Here is a 24,462-nt window from a genome sequence, read left to right as displayed (position 1 = left end):
ACTTCCCCCCACAAATACATGGAAACTGGTCCTTGGTGCTAAAAAAAATTGGGGACCACTGCAATAGACTATTCAGTCATGGTCCAATCAAACATTCTGCAATGGCGGACTTGCTCTACTCTGCACTATCCAACATGGGAGCTGCTAGACATCCACATGGGCTGATGAGCCCTTGAAATGTGGCTGGTGAGAATGAAGAACTGAATTTTCAATTTTCTCTTAACTAAATTTTTTTTTGAGACAGAGTCTCACTCTCTCCTCCAGGCTGGAATGCAGTGGTGCAATCTCGTCTCACTACAACCTCCATCTCCCAGGTTCAAGCAATTCTCCTGCTTCAGCCTCCTGAGTAGCCAGGATTACAAGAACCCACCATCATGCCCGGCTAATTTTTGTATTTTTGTAGAGACGAGATTTCACCATGTTGGCCAGGCTGATCTTGAACGCCTGACCTCAGGTGATCTGCCCAACTTGGCTTCCCAAAATGCTGGGATTACAGGTGTGCCACCATGCCCGGCCTTAATTCATTTCTAAATCACAAAATCTAAACAACGAGTGGCTAGGAGCTACCATAGTGTACAAGGCAGCTGTGGAATCACAGGAAATTGTCAATGACCCTGTCCTGCTTCAAGTTGACTTTTCCCCCTCATGGTGAGACTCTAGATTCTTTCCTCTTCTCTCACATTTTTTAGACTTTCAGGATTAGACCATGAAAATAAGTTCTGTCCTTCCAAGAAAATAACGTTCATAACACTTACTATATACCAGGCTGATTTCAGTGCTTTACATGTATTAATTTACAACAACTCTGAGGCAGGAGCTGTGATTACGCCCATTTAACAGATGACAAAACTGAGGCACAAAGCAGTGCTGGAACTTCTCAAAGTCACACAGGTAGCAGGAGGCAGAGCTCGGATTTGAACTCACTTTGGGTTCAGCAACTCACAGCTCTCACCTATGACATAATATTACTTCTGTTGTCAAAACACTTAGACCTGGATTTCACAGGAATCTTGTGCTTGCCTGGCTGCTAGGGAGGTTTTCATCATCTTCCTTATCTCACAGTTCAAAACCCAGGGCCTCCATGCTCTTGCTCTGGTGACCGTTCACTGGCAGGAGGCTTCTGGGAAGGTTCTCCTTTTCTGTCATTTTTCTTATTCGTGGTTTTTTGTTTCATTGGTGTTTATCTGCAGAACTTTGTTTCCTTCTGCTCAATTCATAATCAGAGTGCTTTTCCTCCTGGCTCAATTCATAAGTGTTTATGTAAAAAGAGGTTGGGCACAGAGCCAGGCGACTGAGGACACCCGGCTCATCTGGCAAGTGGATATCAAATTGTTGTATCTCGTTCTGCCATTCCCGGCTCCTGCTGTGGGGCTGGGTCATCTGCCAGCTCTCCAAGGAGCTGGTGGGAAACCACTGCAATCAGAGCGAACCGCTGCCCGGGTGAGCCCGCCTAGGCACAGCACTCCAGCTGCCCCCAGTGCCTTTTGGGGACACATCTGCATTGCCAGGTAGGGCTGTGGGAGGGTCGCCTGCCTCCTGTCCATCACAGGGAGAACCTACCCTTGTCCCGCGTCCCTTCCAGGCAGGCTGTGTGGGGATTGCTGAGTTCACCTTTAATATGGCTAAAATGTTTTCCTTCAATGACAGTAATGCTGCCAGAACCCATCAAGACACCCAGGAACTGATGTGCCTTGGCAGATGATGCTGGAAAGATGGGATTCCCGGCAGCCCTTGCATCTGTTGCTCACAGCCCACAAGCATCTCCACTGTCCAGCAGGTCAGGGCACGGTCTCTCTTTCTCTCTCTGATGGTCTCTCTCACGGTTTCTCTCTCTCACGGTCTCTCTCTCTCACGGTCTCCCTCACGGTCAGGGCAGAAAGAGAGAGAGTCCATCTGGAGCAGACTCACATTTTTAATGAGTGTCCCCGATAATTTAACATGATCGATGGCTGAGGTATTTCACCAAGTTCAGGAGTCCCAGTTCTCAGAGAGAGGAGCCAGCCATGACTGTAAGACCTGGGCAAACAGTACAAAGCAGACAGCAGGTCTCACCCCTCCCCAGAGAGCTCCAGAGAGTATCAAAGAGTGAAACAGCAGAGGGATGGTCTGGGTGGGGTCATCGTGGCTGGCAAGGGTCTGTGACAGCACCTTGTTAGGCTACTCCCAAGAGGAAATTTGGAGAGAGGGTGGGAGGGCAGCTCTCAGTGCAAGCTAAGTCTCCTGGAAAGTAACTTCCAAACTTTGGAGGATTGTGAGCAAGATGGGACCAGCAACTTCTACCTAAAAAATGTTCATAGCAAGATAACTCATCCTAATATTGGTCCAAGCTAGGTCTTTATTATAGATCATAAAGGCTCTGAGAATAACAATGTAACCTCCAAAAGGGCTGCGGGCTTTGAGGAATCTCAGGCAACTCGCTTCCTTCTGCTCAGTGACTCGCTTGGAGCACAGCAAAGCAAGGAAACACTTAGAGCCAAGCTTGAGTTCTGAATTTCAAATACAGGGAGTCCATCTCTTTCTACCCAATTGTTCCCTAGAATCAGTAACTAACTCCTTCCCCTTAACGGCACGTACTTCCTACCAAAGCACAAGTGCAATGGGCTGTCCATAGCCTCCCCAAAATATGTGCACCTTGTGATATAAATTCTGTCACCGAAAGAGACCAGACAAAATGCAAAACCAAAGTGGAGCCTTTCCTTGAATTATAGGTTCTAAAGAGTTTTGGACCCTCTACAAAACCCAAGAGTTAGGAATTGCCTGGAAGAAGCACAAGCCCTTGTTTTAAAGAGGCAGTTTAAGAATAATAGCCATGCTGATGCCACACTACGCTAAGGGAGAATAATGAACCTAATAAAACTATCGATTTTCCAATTGCTTTTGCTGCTGGAAACACTGATTATGCTAAATAAAGGGTAGAATAGTAAATAGCCACTCTTTTGCATCCAATTAAGTGTTCAGATTATTTCTCAGAAGTATTTGTTGAAAATAGCACTTCTGATAATCATGGGTCCCAAATAAACAGAGTCAATTGTGGTGTGGTTCATGTGTGAGTGTGTGTGTGTGCACACATGTGTCTTTCTGGAGCTCATTTTATGGAGATCCCCCATAGCTCCCCAAATTCCTATGAGATGAAATAAGAAAAATCACAGTTTCCTAAGACTACAGCTTGGGATATCTTTGGAAATGGTGTGTATTGAGAACACAGCATATGGAAACTATTTCATGTTGGCAATATCTGTGATTTAACATTGCAAACATTAGAAATGCAACTGGTTCTTCAGAGCCACCTAAGTCCCTCATAATGGCAATATTAACTTCTTCTAAATAATAAATTAGCCAGTCAAACTATGTTGTACAGAATGTTTGAAGTTTCATCCTTCTAGTCAATGTCACATTTCAAGGCAAAGTCGATTTATATGTAAGTTAAACAAAGTGCTGTCACTAAAAATTGAGAATTATGTCTAATGCCAATCAGAAATGGAATAAATAAGTATTAGAGGATTTGCAAGTTAAAGCAACCATAGAAATGCTATCATCAGGAAGGAAAATGTATTACCTGCAGAGGTTACACATAAGACGCTAGAACCCAGAAGAGAAAGAATCTCTGTAAATATTTCCATTAAGTTAATCAAGACAGGCTGGGTACGGTGGCTCATGCCTGTAATCCCAGGACTTTGGGAGGCCAAAGTGGGTGGATCACGAGGTCAGGAGTTCGAGACCAGCCTGGCCAACATGGTGAAACCCTGTCTCTATTTAAAATACAAAACATTAGCCGGGCGTGGTGGCATGCACCGGTAATCCCAGCTACCCAGGAGGCTGAGGCAGGAGAATTGTTTTAATCCAGAAGGCAGAGGTTGCAGCAAGCCATCACACCATTGCACTCCAGGCTGGGTGACAGATCACGGCTCCATTTTGGAAAAAAAAGGAAGTTAATCAGGGTGAGAATAGGATGAGTTTTTCACCCACAAAAGGAGATGAGATTCACGCATTCTTTCAACATGCATTCCATCAATAGTGAGCACCTGCTCTGAGCTAGGCCCGTTCTAGGTCCCAGGAAATGGGTAACCAACCAGACATGGCCCCTGATTTGGAGCTCATATTTTAGAGCAGCTAAATGGACAGTAAACAAGTAAGCAAATTAAGATCATCTTAAATTGGGGGAAGTTCTTTAGAGAAGCACTTCCATAAAGCTGAATCGTGTCATAGACTATGACTGCCAGGTGGTAGGGAAGGTAATATCTCACCTGCCTGTGGATAGCAGAGTTTCTGAGGCCTTGCAAAGTATTATTTTCTGTAGAGACAGGGTTTCACCATGTTGGCCATGCTGGTGTCGAACTCCTGACCTCAAGTGATCCACCTGCCTCGGCCTCCCAAAGTGCTGGTATTACAGGTGTGAGCCAACGTGCCTGGCAGAGGGCTTTCATTCTTGATGGACTGCTCCATAGCCTCAGAGACAGTCAGACTGGTTTCTTCAACCAGAGTGGAGCAAACAGGCAATTTCTGTATCGACCAGGACAAATATTAGACCAACTCTTCAATGTACAGAGAGCATCACATTTCTTATATGCTAGAATATCTGTTGGTCCAAAATATAAATAAATAGTGTTGTAGCCAGCCACAGTGGCTCACACCTATAATTCCAGAGCTTTGTGGGGCTGAGGCAGGAGGTTCACTTGAGGTCAAGAGTTCGAGACCAGCCTGGGCAACATAGAGAGACACCCCCACACCGCCACCTGCCATCTCTACAAAAATTAAAATAATTAGCTGGGCATACTAGTGTGGGCCTGTAGTCCCAACTACTTGGGAAGCTGATGTGGGTGGATCGCTTGAGCCCAGGAATTTCAGGCTGCAGTGGGCTATGACTGCATCACTGTACTCCAGCTAGAACTTGTCTCAAAAAAAAAAAAAAAGTGCTGCAATTGACATTACTTTATCATTTGAAAAGAGGGACAGACAAGAAAGGTATTTGGCATTTACCAAGCAATTACCCAGAATCCTCATCCCATCCTACCCCCACCCTTCCCCTAAAAATGTATGTATATGTTTTTATACCATAAAAAATACATCTCTTTGGCTCTGGAACCAGATTGCTTGGGTTCAATTACCTGATCTAGCATTTGCTCCTGATGACTCAGTGCAGAAAAGCTCTGTAACTCAGTTTCCCCAGCTGTAAAATGGGGAATGGCGCCTTTACTGGGCTGCCATGAGGGTAAAGGAGGGAACGTATATTTATGAAGCATTCAGAACAATTCATGATACATAGTAAGCTCTATATATTTGAGCTTATTATTACTGTCAGTACGATTATCATCATCTTGCTGTTTCCAATGGGTACGATTTCTACATTCTCTTTCTTAAAGACCTTTAAATCCTTGGTATTCTCTCCACCACCACAGAGAGCAGTGTCCTTGTAGTTTAAATTTGCAAAGACTTCATGGATCCAATAAGCATGACATTAACTAAGGGACAGTTTTCTTTCAGTGGATTGGAATCTAAAATGGCTTTTTTATTGTTATTATTGGCCAGGCTGGTCTCGAACTCCTGACTTCAAGTGATCCCCCCACCTCACCCTCCCAAAGTGTGCTGAGATTACAGGCATGAGCCACCATGCCCAGCCCTCATTCTCTTCTTTTATAAGGACACCAGTCATTGCATCTGCCCCCTCACCAGCAGCCCCCAATCCAGGATGACTCATCGTTACTTGATTACATCTAGAAAGACCATATTTCCAAATAAGGTCACATTCCTGGGTACCGAGGATTAAGATTTCCAATTTTTTCCCTGACTCAATTTTTTTTTGAGTCAGGGCCTCACCCTGTCACCCAGGCTGGAGTACAGTTATGTGATTATAGCTCACTGCAGCCTCAAACTCCTGGGCTCAAGGGATCCCCTGACCTCAGCCTTCCAAGTGGCTGAGACTACAGGAGCACACCATCATGCCCAACTAATTTTTTTGTTTTTTTGTGTTTTTTTTTTTTTCTACAGGTTAGGTCTCACTCTGTTGACCATGCTGGTCTGACCTCAAGCGATCCTCTTGCCTTGGCCTCCCAAAGCACTGGGATTACAGGCGTTATCCCATGCCTGGCCCTCTTTCTACATCTCAATCATTGTATCATTAGCCTGAGCTGCCCATAGTCCTTATTCTGCCCAACCCTGGCCAACCTCCTCCTTTAACATAACTTCCATCTCGATATGATGGGGCCTGCTGGGCACTGCAAACAGCCTAAGGAAAGTGGAAACTTTACTTAACCTTAAATTCTATTACAAAGTCTACATTGAACGTAATTTATATTTGAACTATAAAAATTTTCTGTAAGTTGACACATGACCTATAAAGGACTCTACACCCTGAAGCAACGTTTTAGAAAGAAATTAATTGGTCCTTTTCTGCAGAAACCATTAACCATAGGAGAGATAAAGGAAAAACTTCAATGTACTGATTGAACTTCCATGCCCATAGCTTAACTTCTAAAAGGCAACCATTCCATACTGTTAAACTGACTTAGGTTGCTATTACTGTTATTAAAGAGACCCTCAAAGCCAGAAGTTGAATCTTGACTGTAGTTCTTGCACGTACACGCACACTCTTGCAACTGAAACCACTCAGATTGTCCTAATGCTGCTCCCCATAGCAACATCACCTGGAATTTTACGTTTGTTTTTAAGCATCATTCGTAATCTTTACTTGCAACTGAACACACCGCACCTGTGAGAGCCACGTGACATTAAAAAAATCCCTTCAGTGAGGCCAGGCATGGTGGCTCACTCCTGTAATCCCAGCCCTTTGGGAGGCCAAGGCAGGTGGATCATGATGTCAAGAGATTGAGACCATCCTGGCCAACATGGTAAAACCCAGTCTCTACTAAAAATACAAAAATTAGCTGGGCGTGGTGACGCGTGCCTGTACTCCCAGCTACTCGAGAGGCTGACGCAGGAGAATTGCTTGAGCCCGGGAGGCAGAGGTTGCAGTGAGCCGAGATTGGGCCACTGCACTCCAGCCTGGCAACAGAGGGAGACTGCCTGAAACAAAAAAATCCCTTCAGTGCCTTGATCCTTCCAGATTCAGATCCAAGAGAGATGACATTTGTCCCTCACCAGAGACTGCACACCAAGATAAAGATTTCTTCTGGCCAGGCGTGGTGGCTCACGCCTGTAATCCCAGCAATTTGGGAGGCAGAGGTGGGTGAATCACCTGAGGTCAGGAATTTGAGACCAGCCTGGCCAACGTGTTCAAACCCCGTCTCTACTAAAAATACAAAAATGGCCCGGCATAGTGGCTCTCGCCTGTAATCCCAGCTACTCAGGAGGCTGAGGCAGGAGAATCGCTTGAACCTGGGAGGTGGAGGTTGCAGTGAGCCGAGATCGCGCCATTGCACTCCAGCCTGGGCAACAAGAGAGCAAAACTCCATCTCCAAAAAAAAAAGAAAAAAAGATTTCTTCTGTGTGCATGGCTCAGCTCTGTGGTCCACTAGCGTCCTTCTTCAATCCGTTTCCAATCTATGGAATCAGGAAAGACTGAACCAACCTAGATTAATATTTTAGTATAACATAATACAGTGTTATTTACTATGGCATTGACCGTATATGCCCTTTTGCTCCTTGGAGGAAAGACAATTAATAGCTATTATGTGAGTTAATAAAATAAGCCCAGGATTTCTGAGTATAACTAACCTGTTCCCATTGATTTTCCTTGTCTCCTGCAGGCAGAGAGCTGATCAAAACAGCAAAAGCAAAGCAGTGCCCCTGGCCCAGTTCTGAAGCCAACCTTCCTTAATCACCCAGACCCATCCCTGGTTAGGACTTGCTGTGGATTCTCACGTGACTCCATCTCAGGCTACAGGGACTGAGAGGGTGTATGCAACATCTCAGACCCAGAAACCGTTGATTCTGCCTAAAAACACAGCAATAACCACATCTCATCCTCTTGATTTAAATGAAAGGGTATGGGGGAATAAAAGATGAACCTTTTTTTTTCTTTGTCAGATCTTGCGCTCATTTGGTTCTGGTGGGGAACAACAGCTATAAGAGAACAAGTGTATTCAATTAGAATTAATTCCCCCTCTTATTCTCATAGCTGAGCAGGGCTCAAGTGCCTCTCATCTGAAAGAGGTAATAAGATTTAATCTGTCTCCTCATCTACCTTCTGCAAGTATACTTAACAAATTAGCTCTCGGGACTCTTCCAAATGGAGTTTTATGAGGAATTTGCTAAGGTAAACGTTTTAGACTTTGAACACAGTTCAGATTTCAGGGACAGTACTGAAATCTGAACTGTGTTGCTAACTGCCCTGCCTTTCAACTCAAGACACAATAACTTTGAACTAAAATAATTATATTTTTGTTGTTTTCCACTCTGTCCCCACGTCTATATCACCACAACCCCCAATCCCACCCCGCAGGAGCTAACTCCTCCTTCCTGTCCCCGCAAGATCAAAACTCCTCCTGCAAGCCCCGCTAGCTCTGTCTGCTCACCTTCGTGGCAGATATGCTATTGTACTTTTACACTCATTTGTGTGATAAATACTTCAATGTCCACTTCTTCCACGAGCCCCTGAGCCCCTGGAGGGCCTGGACAACACCGAGTTTTTCTCACCGTTACATCTCCGTTGTCAGGCACTTAATAAGTATTTGGTGAACGAATGGCTTGTTTGGTGACACTCCAAAGGCTGGGGGACAGAGGTAAAGCTCCCTCCTTTTGGGCCCCAGACGGGTGGCGCTGATGGAGAGAGGAGGCTAGGATAAGGCCTCCAGGACCGAAGCGCGCACCCGTAAGGCCCCTGCTAAAAAGACCTTCCTGAAGGCGGAGGAACTGCGAGTGCCTACGTTAGCCCAAGGCCTGACCTGACGATCCCAGGGACCCTCGCTCTAACTGGCCCCGCCTCCCGGGCCCCAAACCCGGACTCGGCCCCGCCCGAAGCTCCGGATCCTGGGGCCCGCCCCTGGCCCCGCGTCGGCAGACCGTGGGCTCGCTCCTGGACCTGCCTCAAACCCTCCGCAGGTAACGCCTCCCGAACTTGAGCCACATTCCGATCCCCTCCTCAAACCCCTCCCCGTTTCCCACACCCTGGACCCCTCGCTCCGTCTCGGCCCCGCCCCAAGCCCAGCTAGGTCTGGGCCCCTGAGCCCAGCCCCGACCGGCCTCCCAGTCCCTGGGTCCCTCCCGACACCGGCCCCTCCCTAAGCTCCGCCTCCCAGGGCCCGCCTCCTGAGCGCAGCCCGCAGCCTGGACTCCGCCCCGCCTCCCGGACCCTGGGCCCCTCCCCACGTGGGCCCGTCCTAAGCTCCGCCTCCCAGAGTCCGCGCACCGCCTGGCCATGTGCTAAGACATAGTCAACGCCCCGCCCCGGCCCCGCCTCCTGAGCCCTTCTCTGGGTCTGGCCTTAGCCCCGCCCTAGGACCTGTCTCCTGGGCTCTGCTCCGAGTCCCGCCTCCTGAACCCAATGGCGTTTATCCCCGCCCTAATGCCCGCCTCCAGGACTCTTATCCTGCCCTCACGCAAGGCACCGCCTCCAGGACGCCACCAACCTGGACGCTTCCGAAGCCCAGCTTCCAGGATCGCCCTATCCTGGCCCCGCCCCAGGACCCGCCAACCTGGAATCTACCCAGGACCTGCCCCAACGACGTTAATTCTGGCCCTACCCCAGGCCTCGCTCTCATGACGCTCATCCTGGCCCCACCCCAGGCCCCACCCTCCTAAGCTCATCTTGGCCCCGCCCTAGCGCCCGCCCCCAGGACGCTCCTCCTGACCCTACCCCTAGGCCCCGCCACCTCTCTGCCTCCGCGCACTACCCTGGGCCCGCCCCCTTTTCAGTCCAGGCCCGGCTTCCGCCCGGTCTCCTGGCAACGCTGCGGCCCCGCCCACGTCATGGCGCCTGAGGAGAACGCGGGTACCAAACTCTTGCTGCAGAGTTTCGAGCGCCGCTTCCTAGCGGCGCGCACACTGCGCTCCTTCCCCTGGCAGGTGGGCGGCGGGGCGAGCGGAGAGGCCTGCGGGGCTTGCGGAAGTCCAGGGGCAGACGGGATGGGTCTCCCTGCTGAAACCCCCGGCGCTCCTGCCACGTGAGTTCCTGGGCTCTCCCCGGTCAGGGCCACGAGACCCGGTCCCCGTCCCTGGGGCCTGGCCAGAGTCGCTCTCACCCCTCCTGCCCCGCGAGCTGGCGGCGGAAGCTGGGGGCGTCTCCACAGTCTTGGGGGGCAGACGCGCGCTCGGTGTGGGGTACAGTTCACGATCATTTTCATGACTTTTTAAAGGCAGTAATCGTTCTGGTCACTGGGACACAGCTGCCCTCGCCCATTCTAAAAAGTCAGCACCCTCAGGCCCGCGGGTAACCACCTCCTCCTGAGCACGGTGACCAGGTCAAAGGCTGTCCCTCGGGCCTCAGTGTTCTCATCTGTATGTCGAGCACTGCACAGAATCAGCTCATGCGCTGAGGCTTTCACTCCTGTGATGGAAGAGACAGAGAAGGGGGTGGCCTCTCCTCTCCCTGGGGACCTGCCATTCTCAGCACAGGCGCATGGCAGGCAGCAGCCTCCCTTCTGCCAGCAGAGGGGCTTAATGCACCCTGCTCCATTTGTAATTCATGTGCGGTGAGCTCACTGGGATGAGTCAGTTTGGATATATATTCCTCCCTGGGTCTGCCCCATTTTATGGGGTGTTGCTTAATCATTTGCGTTATTCCATTGACATGAAATATTTAGCACTCAGAGATCATTTCTGGTCAGGAGAAATTTGTGCATTTTTAACCCAAAATAGAAACCTTCATAAAAGCATCATAGGTCTCCATTCAGTATTGACTATAATTGTTCACATGCCCACGCTGAATGCTAACTTGGGCTCACCATCAACACCCACGAGGTGGGTACTATTATTATCACTCACATTTGACCAGAGGGATTGTTTGATTAGGGTGTAGTAGTTGAGAGTTCAGACCCAGGAGACAGCCTGCCTGCTTCAAATCCTGGCCCAACCCCTGGCCCTGTGTGACCTTGGGCAAGTGACTGCATCTCTCTGTGCTGTTGTTTTCTTATTAATAAAATGGTTGATATAATGATACCTACCTCTTAGGGTTGTTGTCAGCGTTGAGTACAAAAGCCTGTGGATCAGTGCCTGGCTCATGGCAAATGCATGTCGGTGTTAGCTAGTGTTTTTATTCAGTCTCAAAATGTTTAATAAATGCCTTCCGTGAGCCAAGCACCATGGATCAGCAGTACCCATGATAGATGAGGCTCTGCTTGCATGGGAGAGCTAGAGAATAAACAAATAAATGAATAAACAAGAAAAGACCAGATGAGAGTGGCTTTAAAGCCAAGAAAACAGGGGAATGGTGAATGGACCAACTGGGAAGAAGAGTCACTAAAGTCGGGGAATCAGGGAAGCCTTCCCCAAAGACGTGGCATTTGAACTGGGGCCTGAGTGGTGAAGCAGCCAGCCATGGGAAGGGTTTGGGGAACAGGATATGCAAAGGCCCTGTGGTGGAAACAAGCCAGCTGTGGTTGAGGAACAACAGCAATGCAGCCAGTGTGGCTGGAGTGGAGTGAGCAGTGTGGGCCAGGGGTGAGGGAGAACAGGCCAGAGAGAGGGATTAGGACCAGGTCTTGTAGGGCCTTTTATGGCATGGAAGGAGCTCTGAAGCAATGAAGTGCCTTGCTGTGTGTCACATACCAGCCGAGACAGTCTGCCTAACTCGGGAGCCAAAGCTTGCTGCTGGACTTGCCACTGTAAGAGGACAATGTAACCCAGGCTGGTATGGGCACATTCTGCATTTCCACTTAAACTCAGATGGCAAGCCCATCAAACCTTGGTGCCATGGCTGCCCTGGTAATTCCTGGCTGACCAGTGCAACCAGGGAGCTGGCCCATGACCCGGGTGGCCGCTAAGTAGCCAGGACTAATGCGGCCAAGAGTCAGCCTTCTTCCTGTGACTCATCCAGGTGCACCCTGCGACATCTGAAGGTCAGGCTTTCAGCCGCTGTGGCTTCCACTTCCAACTGGCTCCGCGTCCCCAGGGAGGGATCACATAGCGCTTTGCCAACACATTCTATTGCGTGTTTTAATGTTCCTGTGAATGCGCCCTTGAGATTTCTCTCTCTCCCGTCCACACGGAGCTTAGAAGCAAAATTAAGAGACTCATCAGATTCTGAGCTGCTGCGGGATATTTTGCAGAAGGTAAGAATTCCAGAGTCCCTGGGACTCATGACCCTGCCTCCTGAATCTCTCCGGAAGACCTGAGAGAAGAACCACAGGTTCTTTAAAAACACCCCTGTTCAAAGAACAAAACCATTGAGTCAGCACTGCAGGTAGGTGTCAGCACCTCCGACAGCTCCTGCGCTTTTGTTTTCTATCTAAGACTTAGACAAAGACATCAGAATATACAAAAATCTGCATGAGGGGGGAAATCTAGGGAATGTTTTTTAAACTATCCTCAGCAAAAACAGAGATGACAGGTGCAAAACAGCTTCTAGCATTTGGTGGATGCTCAGAGACTTTCTTTTTTGCATTCCTGAGGCCTGTCCTGCCCACTCCTGTCTCCTCTAGACCTAAATGGGCCCTTGCTTTGCCCAGGGTGGGGTTTGGACTCAAGTGCATCTGCATGCAGGTGACAGCCAGGATCACCACCCGGCCCAGCCACAGCGTGACCTTGGCCTTGAGGGCCAAGTGCAGATCACCCTGCATCCTGGGTCTTCACCTTCGAAGGGCCATGAGCCCTTCAGAAAAGACAAAGCAATAGACTCCCTCCCAGAAAGAAGTGCACCAGAAGAATACATTTTCCATACAAACTCAGGGGAGGCAGACATCCTCCACCCCCACCCACCCAGCCCATCCTAGGAGCCCCAGTGAAGAATTCCTGTGCTAGAGGTGAACCAAGATGATCCACTTGGAAAAGATGCAGCCACAGCAGGGAAGACTTTCGGGGCAATACAGTAGGTCAGGGCTTCGAGCATGGAGATACCTGAAGTTATCTCGCACCCTGCTCTGAGTTTCACCCTGAGCCTCACTCTCGTAGGTGGTGAAGCATGAAATGTAGGGAGAGCTGCTTTAAAACCCAGCACAAGGCTGGGTGCACTGGTTCACACCTGTAATCCCAGGACATTGGGAGGCTGAGGTGGACGGATCACCTAAGGTCAGGAGTTCAAGACCAGCCTAGCCAACATGGCAAAAACCCATCTCTACTAAAAATTTAAAAAATTAGCTGGGCGTGGTGGTGCACGCCTATAGTCCCAGCTACTTGGGAGGCTGAGGCAGGAGAATCGCTTGAACCCAGGAGGCGGAGGCTGCGGTTAGCCAAGATCGGGCCACTGCACTCCAGCCTGGGCAACAGAGAGAGACTGTGTCAGAAAAAATGAAAAACCAGCACCAGCATGAAGAGCCTGTGTATTGCATGGGGTACTTTGCTGCCCTTGGGCAGAATCTGCATCCCTCCCAGCCAGCAGGCACTGCGGACTGTCTCCTCCCTCTCCCTCCAGGCTCCTGTTTTCCCACCGTCCCCACTCCTGCTGCACCAGTGCATCTGCCCTCCTTTCCAAGTGCCAGCCTGTGGCCACCTCAGAGCTTGCACCAGCTGTTCCCACTGCCTGGAACTTGCTCATCCTGCACTTGGCTTCTCTCGGCTTTAGCTGGAGTGTCACCCTGAGCGTCCCCTCCCCTCCATCCTGTCCCCAGGGACACACACTCCAAGAGAGCAGTTGCCGAGTGGGCCTTCCCGCCTCTTCCATAGAGCCAGACAGTTGGCGACTGTCCTTACTGCAAGCCCTGGTTCACACTGGCTCCCCTGGGAGGGAGGTGGTTTAGGCCCACGTGCCCTGTGTTCCTGCTCAGAATGGGCATTAGAAATGCTGCAATATCCTGTGCCACTGCAGTGGAAGCATCTTTAGGAAACGGCTTATATCTTAAGACAAACTTCAGATGCGTGGGGCCAGAACGCCGTGTCCATCTACATCTTTGCTGAGGGATCGGGTAGCCTGGAGTTTGCCCTCTGCTGTGTTGGCTTGAAGCTCATAGGAGACTTAAGACGGGCTCTCGAGCAACCAACGTTCTGTCCTTTGCTGTAGACTGTGAAGCATCCTGTGTGTGTGAAGCACCCGCCATCAGTCAAGTGTGCCCAGTGCTTTCTCTCAGAACTCATCAAAAATGTCAGCAATGGGCAGTGTCCGCCCAGTAGCTGGACAGCATAGCCACCTGCGTGCTGGAGCCCCCGTCCTTCCCAGGCCCTGGGCCTGCTTTGCCAATACCAGCATGGCAGGGGCCTCCCCAGGCAACTGGCTGCAGCTGAGTGTGACCCATGGGAGACAGTGCAGGGCAGGAAGAAGGGGAGACCAGCGTCTCTCCCTCACTCTGCCTCATGGGGTTTCCACAGCAGCTGCTTCTCTGGGGCCCCAGCTCCTAGAATATGAATTCTCATTCCTACCAGGCTGGTCCAGCCCACAGCACTGGAACCCTCATCCACACCCTCTGTCCTGCCCGCTGAAGGGTTTGGAGTTTCCTGCTCTTGTCTGTCTCTGGGTTGCCCCACAGGCCCCTGTTGGAAGATTTAGCTCTTGCCATACCTTTGGAACTAGTTCCTCTGTGAATTCTCTGCATTGATCCTGCTGGAATGAGCTCTTTCCTGACTGATACAGGATGGATTTTATTTTTTACTTATTTATTTAGTTTTTTGAGACAGTCTCACTGTGGTGCCCAGGCTGGATTACCGTGGCACAATCTCGGCTCACTGAAACCTCTACCTCCTGGGTTCAAGCAACTCTCGTGCCTAAGAAGCTGGGACTACAGGCACACGCCACCATGCCTGGCTAATTTTTGTATTTTTAGTAGAGATAGAGTTTCACCATGTTGGCCAGGCTGGTCTCGAACTCCTGACCTCAGGTGATCCGCCTGCCTCAGCCTCCCAAAGTGCTGGGATTACAGGCATGAGCCACCACACCTGGCCTAGGATGGATTTTAAAGATGGGCCCAAACATGCAGGGTTTGACATGAGGATGTCGAGAGGCCGTTCCTTAGTAGGCAGTAGCAGACCTGCTGAGTGAAAGGGCCACACTTTTAGCAAATAAACAATCCCCTGCTTCTCCAATACCTGCTTTCTCCCTAGTCCTCCCCAAAAGCGTGCATCTGTGTTCACCAGCAGGTCTGCCCTGTGCCACCAGGAGAGGGCAGCAGTCACCCAGTGTACCCTGCTGCTGCCCTGTGAATCCTAGGATGGGACCAGCTGTGGAGAAGCAGCCTGCTGACAGCCACAGCCTGCAGCATGGGCCGCCCTCACAGTTCTGCCTGGGCTCACTTAAAAGCACCTTTTGTTTTCCTCCTCTCTGTTTGATCCAAACACAGAGCTCTCTGTCATGGTCACGTGGCAGCTCTCACGGAATCCTTGTTTCCTTCCCTAGACTACACCTAACCCTAACCTCTCAACACCTCTTGTTGAAGGCCCTCCCATCCAGGTTGCCCTACCAAGTGAAATTTTTTTTAGAGACAAGGTCTCTTGCCCAGGCTGTCCTCGAACTCCTGGGCTCAAGCAGTCCTCCCGTGTCAGCCTCTAGATTAGCTGGGACTATTCGGCACACACCACCACACCCAACGAAGTGAGTATTTTATATGCCAGCTGGCTGGTATTACACCATTCCATCCCAAATCTCCCCTCCAAACTTGGTGAAAATCATCTGACCATTTTTACAGATTAGAACGAAAGCAAACAAGCTCTCACTCTGTCTGCCCCCAGCACGAGGCTGTCCACACGGAGCTTTTGGACGAGCTGTACGAGGCGCTGGCAGAGACCCTGATGGCCAAGGAGTCCACCCAGGGCCACTGGAGCTATTTGCTGGTATGAGAAGGGCACCCTCCTCCCCCTCACAGCCCAGATACCCTTCCTGCACAGACAAAGTGAAAACGTGGGTGTGGGTTCAAATCCTGACTCACCCATTCTGCAGTCTTAGACATGAGGTCCGTTAACCTTCTTTAGCCTCAGTTTCCCTGTCTGTAAATCAAGCACTTCAACAACAACAGCATGTCTCGTGGGGTTGTTGGGTATTTGTCCAATAGGTGACACACACTACCTGCTTCACAAGGACCTGGTGCCCAGTCCTCAAAGAATATTTGACAGGGCTGGACATGGTGGCTCACGCCTGTAATCCCAGCACTTTGGGAGGCCGAGGCGGGTGGATCTGAGGTCAAGAGTTCGAGACCAGCCTGGCCGATATGGTGAAACCCTATCTCTACTAAAAATACAAAAATTAGGCCAGGCGTGGTGGCTCATGCCTGTAATCCCAGCATTTTGGGAGGCTGAGGCGGGGGGATCACCTGAGGTCAGGAGTTTGAGACCAGCTTGGCCAACATGGTGAAACTCCATCTTTACTAAAAATACAAAAATTAGCGGGGTGTGGTAGTGGGCGCCTGTAATCCCAGCTACTCAGGAGGCTGAGGCAGGAGAATCTCTTGAACCCAGGAGGTGGAGGTTGTAGTGAGCCGAGATCACGCTATTGCACCACGGCCTTGGCAATGAGAGCGAATCTTTGTCTCAAAAAAAAGTACAAAAATTAGCCGGACATGGTGGCACACACCTGTAGTCACGGCTACTTGGGCTGCTGAGGCAGGAGAATTGCTTGAACCCAGGAGGCAGAGGTTGCAGTGAGCCAAGATCATGCCACTGACTCCAGCCTGGGTGACAGAGCTCAAAAAAAAATAAGATAAAGCATAGATACAGAAAACCACAAAGGAAAAACATAGCATATTGAATCATCACAAGGCAGCCACCCCTTCATAGCCACACCTGGCCCCTGGCCACCACTGACCTGTGCTCCATCGCCAGAATTCCGTTGTCTCAGGAATGTTCGATGAATGGAATCCTGTGTGGCCTGAGATGAGTGTCTTTCATGCCGCGTGACACCCTTGAGGCCCGTGCAAGCTGTTGGTATGTCAACAGTTAGCTGCTTCTCATTGCTGAGTGGCGATTGGTCCTGTCATGGTTTATTCAGCCATGTGGCGGATGGCTACTTGTCTTCTAAGCCACTTGTTTTCTGATTGCTGGACTTACTGTCTCACCCTCTCTTGGTACAGCCCTCGGAAGGCTCGGTCACACTCTCCGAGCACAGCCATCATCTCCCACGGTACCACAGGCCTGGTCACATGGGACGCTGCCCGCTACCTTGCAGAATGGGCCATCAAGAACCTGGCAGCCTTCACTAACAGGTGACCTCGGGGCACAGGGCAGCCGCCATCTACCTTGCAGAATGGGTCATTGAGAACCTGGCAGCCTTCACTAACAGGTGACCTCGGGGCACAGGGCAGGGCACCGAGGCAGGCTTACCCTGGTGCAGTCGAAGACACGGTCCCCTTTCCTCCCGCCAGGACTGTCCTAGAGCTTGGCAGTGGCGCCGGCCTTACAGGCCTGTCCATCTGCAAGATGTGCCACCCCCGGACATACATCTTCAGCGACTGTCACAGCCGGGTCCTCGAGCAGCTCCGAGGGAATGTCCTTCTCAATGGCCTCTCATTAGAGGCAGACATCACTGCCAACTTAGATAGCCCCAGGGTGACAGTGGCCCAGCTGGACTGGGATGTAGCGACGGTCCATCAGCTCTCTGCCTTCCAGCCAGATGTTGTCATTACAGCAGGTAATGCCCAGCCCCGGGCATCCTGTGCAGGCGGTGTCCTTGCAGCTCTACCCAGCTCTTGGCTCTGGGAAAAGGGAACAGTGGATGCTGTCGGGCATGGACATGATGGGGCTTCCAGAAGAGTTACTCCGGGCCTCCAGGGGGACATCAAAGGACAGGGGTGCCTCTTAAGGTGACCTTCAAGCCACAGCCCTCTTGTTGGAGACAGGCATACTCCCGTTACAGTCGTCACCACACGGCTCTGTTCCAGAGCCATGCCCTGTGTCCTTCAGAGACCACAGGAGGAAAACAACCACTTCTGGGATGAGGACAGGGCCCTTGGGAGAAGGTGGTGTTTGGCTGGGCCACCAAAAACCCCTCACCCCTGCCAGCACACTCAGTCCCCTCTCTGGTGGAACAGAGCTCTGCCTGTGGTCCTGGGTCCCAGCCCTGAAACCCACAGGTCCAGCGGTGGCCAGGGACAGAGGCCCACCCCTGCAAGCCAGCAGACCAATCGGCAGACACCTGAAACACGAAGTTCACGGTAGGGTCAGGCTTTCTGCCATTCAAAGCCCTCTAGATAGGCCCAGAACCAGAGCTGGTTTTTTAAGGAACACCAGTGAGTCTGGAGATTTTTTTCTTTTGCTTCGGTCTTTTGCAGCTTTCTCTACTAAGGGTTCTCCTTTTTCACCCAAGTAATTGCCCTTCCATCTAATGGCCCAAATGGTCAAATGGCATCTAATAGTCTCATATGAACGCTGCCTCTCTGGCCTCACCCTGCTGCTGAGGTCAGCATGAACTGGAACTTTCCACTTGTCCCTTTCAGTAACCTGAAGCTTTCACCGTAGACGTGCTGTATTGCCCAGAAGCCATCGTGTCCCTGGTCGGGGTCCTGCGGAGGCTGGCTGCCTGCTGGGAGCACCAGCGGGCTCCTGAGGTCTACATGGCCTTTACCGTCCGCAACCCAGAGACGTGCCAGGTGTTCACCACCGAGCTAGGTGAGCCCCCACGCCCACCCGGGCCTGCATGGTCCCCGAGCTGTCCCTGCAGGACTCCAGTGGAAGTGAAAGAACTGGGTGCCAGCAAAAAGCTAGGATGCCCCACACTCCCACACCATGCGGGGAACTCGGGCAGAGGCCGGTGAGCAGGGTGGGCTTGGGGCGTGGGGGGCTTGCGGCAGGAGGAGGGCAGCTCAGCACAGGGCGGGAGGGTCTGAGCCCAGCAGCCCTACTATGTGCCTCAGAGCAGGTTTCCCTAAGCCCTTGGGCCTCGGTTTCCTCATCTATAAAATGGAGGTGGTGGGAGGGGCAGTCGGGGTCAGGGCTGGACACAGCTGTGGCCTGCAGGATGCTGGAGCACAGGCTGTACAGGCGGATCCACCACGCCACTGTCCTGAGCACCCAGTTGATGGAAGACGAGCAGGGTGACTATAGAGAAGGGCAACTGGCCCCGTAGTGGGCCAGCCACTGTCCTGAGACCTGACATTGGTCAGCCCCCAGCACCTGTGAGGGTGTTCTGTCATTGTCCCATCTCACCGACAAAAACACTAGGACACACAGAGGCCAAGAGACCCCCGAGCTCCCGCAGACTGCAGCCCGGCCACCTGGCTCTAGTGCCTCCACACTACACCCAAGCCCCCCATTGCCACCAGACTCTGCCCCAGCTCCCCCTGAGCACAGCCCCTCCTGGCAGCCATGTGCAAAGATGCACCCGCAGCAGCCTCTGCCTGCACACAGAGACATGGACGACCCAGTGCCTGTCCACGTGGGGCAGCCCGTTAACTACAGAGCCAACAAACAAGCCAGCACGCGAAGACATACTGGGTTCCATGACAGAGTCCCGCACAACCTCGCACAGGAGGCTGGCCAGGCGTGGGGCTCAGGCCTGTCATCTCAGCACTTTAGGAGGCTAAGGCAGGAGGACTACTTGACCCCAGGTGTTCAAGACCAACCTGGGCCACATAGTGGGACCCCATCTTCACAAAACATACAGAAACTAGCCAGATGTGGTTGGACATGCCTGTAGTCCCAGCTACTCGGGAAGCTGAGGTGGGAGGATGGCTTGAGCCCACGAGGTGGAGGCTGCAGTGAGCCCTGATCTCACCACTGCACTCCAGCGTGGGCAACAAAGCAAGACCCTGTCTCAAAAAAGCAAAAAAGCAAAAAAAAAAAAAAAAAAGGAAGTCTTTCTTCAGATACTTACGTGAAAAAAAACCTGCAATATCTTTTAAGTGAAAAAAAAACAGTGCCAAGCAGTACATATAGTATAAGCCCCCACCAACCTTTTTTTTTTTTTTTTTTTTTTTTTTTGAGACAGAGTCTGGCTTTGTATTGCCCAGGCTGGAGTGCAGTGGTGCCATCTCGGCCCACTGCATCCTCCCACCTCCCAGGTTCAAGCTATCCTCCCATCTCAGCCTCCTGAGTAGCTGGGACTACAGGTGCGTGCTACCACGCCTGGCTAATTTTTGTATTTTTTGTAGATTCGAGGTTTCTCCATGTTGGCCAGGCTGATCTTGAACTCCTGACCTCAAGTGATCTGCTGCCTCAGCCTCCCAAAGTGTTAGGAATACGGGCGTGAGCTACTGCGCCCAGCCCCATTTTTGTTTAAAAACTAATAATAATCACCCACACGTGGTTATGAGTACCTATATTCCAACTACTCAGGAGGCTGAGGCGGGAGGATGGCTTAAGCCCAGGACTTTGTGGCCACCTTGAGCAACATAGCAAGACTTCATCTCAAAAAAAAATGTATCAAAATAATCATTTTCACATAGGTATACCTATAGGGGAAAACCTAGAACATGTATATAGCAGGTTTGTCCAACCTGTGGCCCAACACAAATCTGTAAACTTTCTTAAAACAATATGAGGTTTTTTTGTGATTTTTTTTTCTTTTAGCTCATCAGCTATTGCTAGCTTTAGTGTATTTTATGTGTGGCCCAAGGCGATTCTTCTTCTTCCAATGTAGCGCAGGTAGGCCAAAAGATTGGACATCCCTGATATGCACGTTAACAGGTGCCATCCTTGGATGGCAGGATTATAGAGATTGCTACACGTTCATGTCTGTACTACTTCATTTTTATAAATATGCATTTTCCACTCGTAACAAAAAACCGTGATTGAAAATCATCCCGGGTCACAGTGTCTCATGCCTGTAATCCCAACACTGTAAGAGGCTGAGGCTTTGGGAGGCTGAGGTGAGCAGATCACCTGAGGTCAAAAGTTCAAGACCAGCCTGGCCAACACGGTGAAACCCCATCTCTACTGAAAACACAAAAATTAGCCAGGCGTGGTGGTGCACGCCTATAATCCCAGCTACTCGGGAGGCTGAGGTAGGAGAATCACTTGAATCTGGGAGACATTGCAGTGAACTGAGATGGCGCCACTGCACTCCAGCCTGGGGAACAGAGTAAAACTCCATCTAAAAAATAATAATAAAAGAGGCTGAGGCAGGAGCATCACTTAAGGCCATGCGTTCAGGACCCCATCTCTACAAAATAAAAAAAATACTGGCATGGTGGCATGCACCTGTCATCCCAGCTACTCAGGAAGTCGGAGGATTGCTAGAGCCCAGGAGTCGAGGCTGTGGTGAGCAATGACTGTGCCACTGCACTCCAGCCTGGGTGACAGAACAAGATCGTATCTCAAAAAAAAAAAAAAAAAAAAGAATCATTCTGGCTAATGGCTCTTCAGACATCTGTGCTTATGAGAACACCAGCCCCTTCTAAGCGTGTGTGTGTGTGTGTGTGTGTGTGTGTGTGTGTGTGTGTGTGTGTGTGTGTTTTGAGATGGAGTCTCACTCTATCACTCAGGCTGGAGTGCAGTGGCACAATCTCGGCTCACTGCAACCTCCGCATCCTGGGTTCAAGCAATTCTCCCGCCTCAGCCTCCCAAGTAGCTGGGATTACAGGCACCCACCATCGTGCCTGGCTAATTTTTGTATTTTTGTAGAGATGGGGTTTCACCATGTTGGCCAGGCTGGTCTCGAACACCTGACCTCAAGTGATCCACCGGCGTTGGCCTCCCAAAGTGTTGGGATTACAGGCATGAGACACTGTGCCCGGCCACTTTCTAAGCTTTGTGAAGAGTGGGTTGATGGAACAGCCAGGTAGATGTGGGTTCAGATCTCTGCTTCTGTCCTGCTGTGCCACGTGCTGGGGCAGACTCGGGCAGAGAGTGGACAGCTGCATGGTGCCTGCTGCTAGCCATTTCTATGTAAAACCAGATTTCTGGTCCCTTCCTGGAGGCCAATTCTAGGTACTTGGGTGGGCCTGGGAACCTGTGAACCAAGTAAACTGACTTAGACACTCCCCACCCCGCCAGGCCTGTCCTAGCAGCCCCACACAATACGCTCATGTCCTGTCCCCAAACACCGCCATCCTCAAACACGTGCTCTGTTTCCAGGCTGGGCTGGGATCAGATGGGAAGCGGAAGCTCATCATGACCAGAAACTGTTTCCCTATGGAGAGCACTTGGAGATGGCAATGCTGAACCTCACACTGTAGGACTCATACACGACTCCAACGGGATTGTTAGAATCAAATCACTCTCGTGGGAAGAATTTTTATATGGGAAAGCGGATAAAACTTTCATTGGACTGGAATGTTTGGAGAATGTTAAATTCCAAATCAGGAACCACAATCTGCCCTCTAATAAGACATCGGCTATCTAAGCATGTGGGTGCCCCCTTTCTGCCAGCAGTTCTGGTTCTTAAGAAAATCACCATAAATCAGACATGAAAATTCTGGCTCCAAAAATAGCATTTTCTTTGTGCAAATAAAAACGTGTGTATCAAGTATGACGTTCCCCCAACGTGGACACACTCGGTTCCTCACAAAGCCAAGCCCGCTGCAGCTGCCACATCCCTGGACACACTCGGTTCCTCACAAAGCCAAGCTCGCTGCAGCTGCCACATCCCTGGACACATTCGGTTCCTCACAAAGCCAAGCCCGCGGCAGCTGCCACATCCCTGGACACACTCGGTTCCTCACAAAGCCAAGCCCGCTGCAGCTGCCACATCCCTGGGCTTGTGGTGCAGCAGGTGCTTTTCTCAAGACAGGAATCAAAGTGTTAGGAACATGGCAGAAAGGTGACACCTGGAGACCAAATGCAGGATGAGGAGTACTGCAGAGGTCACAGGGAAGTCACAGAACAGTAATACGCTAGCAGGGACATGGGGCGTGAAGAACAGAAGAAGACAGGAAGCATTTCTGAGACTCCAAAGAAGAAATCAGGGCCAACCACAGCTTCCCGGGTCATTCACCAGGTGGCACCACTGCCGTCATTTCAGCTTCTGGCCACTGGGAGGCGCTGCTTGAAAGGGTTTGCCCTGAGACTCCAAGAAGAAGCTGCGGGAAGGACAGCAGGGGCCCTGGGGTTTTAGCCTCTGGCCCAGGAGTTATGTGTCCATAACCAAAGGGAGCACAGTCTGCACCCAGCTCTCATCCCATCAGAGCTGCTGCGACTCCCGCAGGTTCTTCCGGAACTGGTTTAGCTTGCCTTCAGGATCAGGAAAGTTTGAGAAAAGCATCTGCAAAATACTGAAGAGCAGAGCTTACCTCATTGCCTGTCCCCACCCCATCCCAGGTCACCACCTGGATGACCCCAGCTCCCCGACCCAACAACAACCCCTCCCAAGTCCCTAGCTCCCTCACTTGGACTTGAGACCCTTCACACCCCAGCAGCGCTCCGCCTCCATCTTGACATGCTTTCTGGAAACTTCCCCGTATGTCCCACTTTCCCACACTTGGTGCCCTGGAGCACCTTCCGGCCTCTACATGATGTACGTTCCCCTGTGAGCACCCTCCTCTCGGCCTCTGGCCAACACAGTCCCACCCATCTGTGGGTAACAAGGGGGTGTTCTTTTCAGCCTTGCTAAACTGTCTGAATCAAGGATCACAAACTACAGCCTGCAGGCCAAATCCAGCCCACAGCCTGTGTTTGTAAATAAAGCTTTATTGGAACAAAGCCACACCCCTTAATCTACAGATGATCTGTGGCTACTTTCACACCACAACAGAGTACCATGGTTCTGACAGAGACTGGGGGACCCAGTCTAAATGACTTCTGACCTGGACCTTTACTGAAAATCCTCCCAATCATTCTGTTGACAAGAATGATGTATTACTTTTTGCAATAAGAAACAAGTAACCTTTGCAGAATTCCACCCATCTTTCAAGGCTGGTCCCAGAAGTTCCCTTAGCCCACGCACTACCTGATCCTGATCACTTCCTAAACTGCAGCCTGGCCCACCCGGCTCCAGCATCATTTGTGGAGTCTCAGCTCCATAAATCTAGAGGGCAGGTGGGGTTGTGTCCTAACTTTACCGAGCCTACTGTACCGAAATGGGACAGCAGAGTAGGCCAGCCTCTGTGACTTCTGCTCCCTCCCTAGCTTTTCCGCCAGACCCCGCATGGTCCCACCCTGGCTGTGTGAAACAGGGATCAGGGAGCATGGCTCGGTGCCAGTCTCCAGAACCCTGTCCACCCTGGCGTGGTGGCAGACATGGCTACCTGCAGCTGAGCTGCCAGTTCCTCTGAGTCCTCAAAGACCAGGCGGTTTTCTTCATGTTTCACCAGCTCATGTAAACTGCAGAGAGAACAAAAGGAGCCCGAGAGTTTCCTGGAGAAGACACTAGACCCCTGGGGTGCCCAGCTGGGCTCCCACCCACCCCACGCTCAAGCCAGGCTGGGGGTTGGAACAGGGTGTGTGGCTTCTGGGAGGTGGTTCTTAGATTTGGCATCTGAAGGGTATAAAAGCCTGGGGGGGGTGCACATCAAAATGGTCAAACCGATTTGAGGAGAGAGCCTTAAGGAAGGTTTGTACCTTCTGTGCTGGATGCTCTTCAAGGACTGAAGAATTATTTTTGCATGTTTTTCTTAATTCCAT

At 50.9% G+C, this 24,462-nt stretch overlaps 1 protein-coding gene, 2 long non-coding RNA genes and 1 pseudogene across 5 annotated transcripts in view, besides 6 other annotated features; 2 read left to right on the top strand and 2 right to left on the bottom strand.

The window, feature by feature from the left end:
- Positions 1-767: 767 nt before the first annotated feature.
- On the bottom strand, positions 768-9,630 carry LINC02021 (long intergenic non-protein coding RNA 2021). Of its 2 annotated transcripts, none has more exons than NR_146653.1 (3): positions 9,525-9,630; positions 8,593-8,715; positions 768-2,016 (listed from the first exon to the last, which is right to left on the bottom strand). It is a non-coding gene; the product is annotated as a long intergenic non-protein coding RNA 2021 (long non-coding RNA). The 2 variants fall into 2 exon arrangements; NR_146654.1 differs by lacking the exon at positions 9,525-9,630 and adding an exon at positions 4,245-4,500 and having other exon boundaries at positions 768-2,280; positions 8,593-8,787.
- LOC124909432 (uncharacterized) lies at positions 1,337-7,977 on the top strand. Its single transcript, XR_007096083.1, has 3 exons — positions 1,337-1,508; positions 1,648-1,777; positions 7,704-7,977. It is a non-coding gene; the product is annotated as an uncharacterized LOC124909432 (long non-coding RNA).
- Positions 8,930-9,099: a silencer, noted in NCBI's record as "silent region_14732". NCBI's record gives its function as "represses an Ori minimal core promoter by ATAC-STARR-seq in GM12878 lymphoblastoid cells {active_cell/tissue: GM12878}" and the evidence as "EXISTENCE:reporter gene assay evidence [ECO:0000049][PMID:35858748]".
- Positions 9,170-9,219: a silencer, noted in NCBI's record as "silent region_14731". NCBI's record gives its function as "represses an Ori minimal core promoter by ATAC-STARR-seq in GM12878 lymphoblastoid cells {active_cell/tissue: GM12878}" and the evidence as "EXISTENCE:reporter gene assay evidence [ECO:0000049][PMID:35858748]".
- Positions 9,631-9,903: 273 nt separating the features above from the next.
- On the top strand, positions 9,904-23,555 carry FAM86HP (family with sequence similarity 86 member H, pseudogene; annotated as a pseudogene). Its single transcript, NR_024252.1, has 5 exons — positions 9,904-10,058; positions 15,706-15,807; positions 17,040-17,171; positions 18,424-18,573; positions 21,979-23,555. The product of NR_024252.1 is annotated as a family with sequence similarity 86 member H, pseudogene (transcript).
- Positions 10,220-10,269: an enhancer, noted in NCBI's record as "active region_20521". NCBI's record gives its function as "activates an Ori minimal core promoter by ATAC-STARR-seq in GM12878 lymphoblastoid cells {active_cell/tissue: GM12878}" and the evidence as "EXISTENCE:reporter gene assay evidence [ECO:0000049][PMID:35858748]".
- Positions 10,370-10,559: an enhancer, noted in NCBI's record as "active region_20520". NCBI's record gives its function as "activates an Ori minimal core promoter by ATAC-STARR-seq in GM12878 lymphoblastoid cells {active_cell/tissue: GM12878}" and the evidence as "EXISTENCE:reporter gene assay evidence [ECO:0000049][PMID:35858748]".
- Positions 21,242-22,071: an enhancer, noted in NCBI's record as "H3K4me1 hESC enhancer chr3:129818109-129818938 (GRCh37/hg19 assembly coordinates)". NCBI's record gives its function as "activates a minimal SCP1, AML or CMV promoter by ChIP-STARR-seq in primed H9 embryonic stem cells {active_cell/tissue: H9 hESC(primed)}" and the evidence as "EXISTENCE:reporter gene assay evidence [ECO:0000049][PMID:30033119]".
- ALG1L2 (ALG1 chitobiosyldiphosphodolichol beta-mannosyltransferase like 2) overlaps positions 22,947-24,462 on the bottom strand; it is a 16,560-nt gene continuing 15,044 nt past the window's right edge. The window contains exons 7-8 of the mRNA NM_001136152.1: positions 24,087-24,162; positions 22,947-23,114 (exon numbers count right to left, since the gene is read on the bottom strand). Coding sequence (NP_001129624.1) covers positions 23,082-23,114; positions 24,087-24,162 — 109 coding nt within the window. The 3' untranslated portion in view covers positions 22,947-23,081. The remainder of the gene's footprint in view (positions 23,115-24,086; positions 24,163-24,462) is intronic.
- Positions 23,735-24,462: part of an enhancer, noted in NCBI's record as "H3K4me1 hESC enhancer chr3:129815614-129816445 (GRCh37/hg19 assembly coordinates)", that runs on past the window's edge. NCBI's record gives its function as "activates a minimal SCP1, AML or CMV promoter by ChIP-STARR-seq in naive H9 embryonic stem cells {active_cell/tissue: H9 hESC(naive)}" and the evidence as "EXISTENCE:reporter gene assay evidence [ECO:0000049][PMID:30033119]".

This window comes from Homo sapiens, chromosome 3 (genome assembly GCF_000001405.40).
Source record: "Homo sapiens chromosome 3, GRCh38.p14 Primary Assembly".
NCBI lineage: Eukaryota > Metazoa > Chordata > Mammalia > Primates > Hominidae > Homo > Homo sapiens.
Note: the sequence above shows the minus strand (reverse complement) of the source record. Positions and strands in the feature narration are given on the sequence as shown.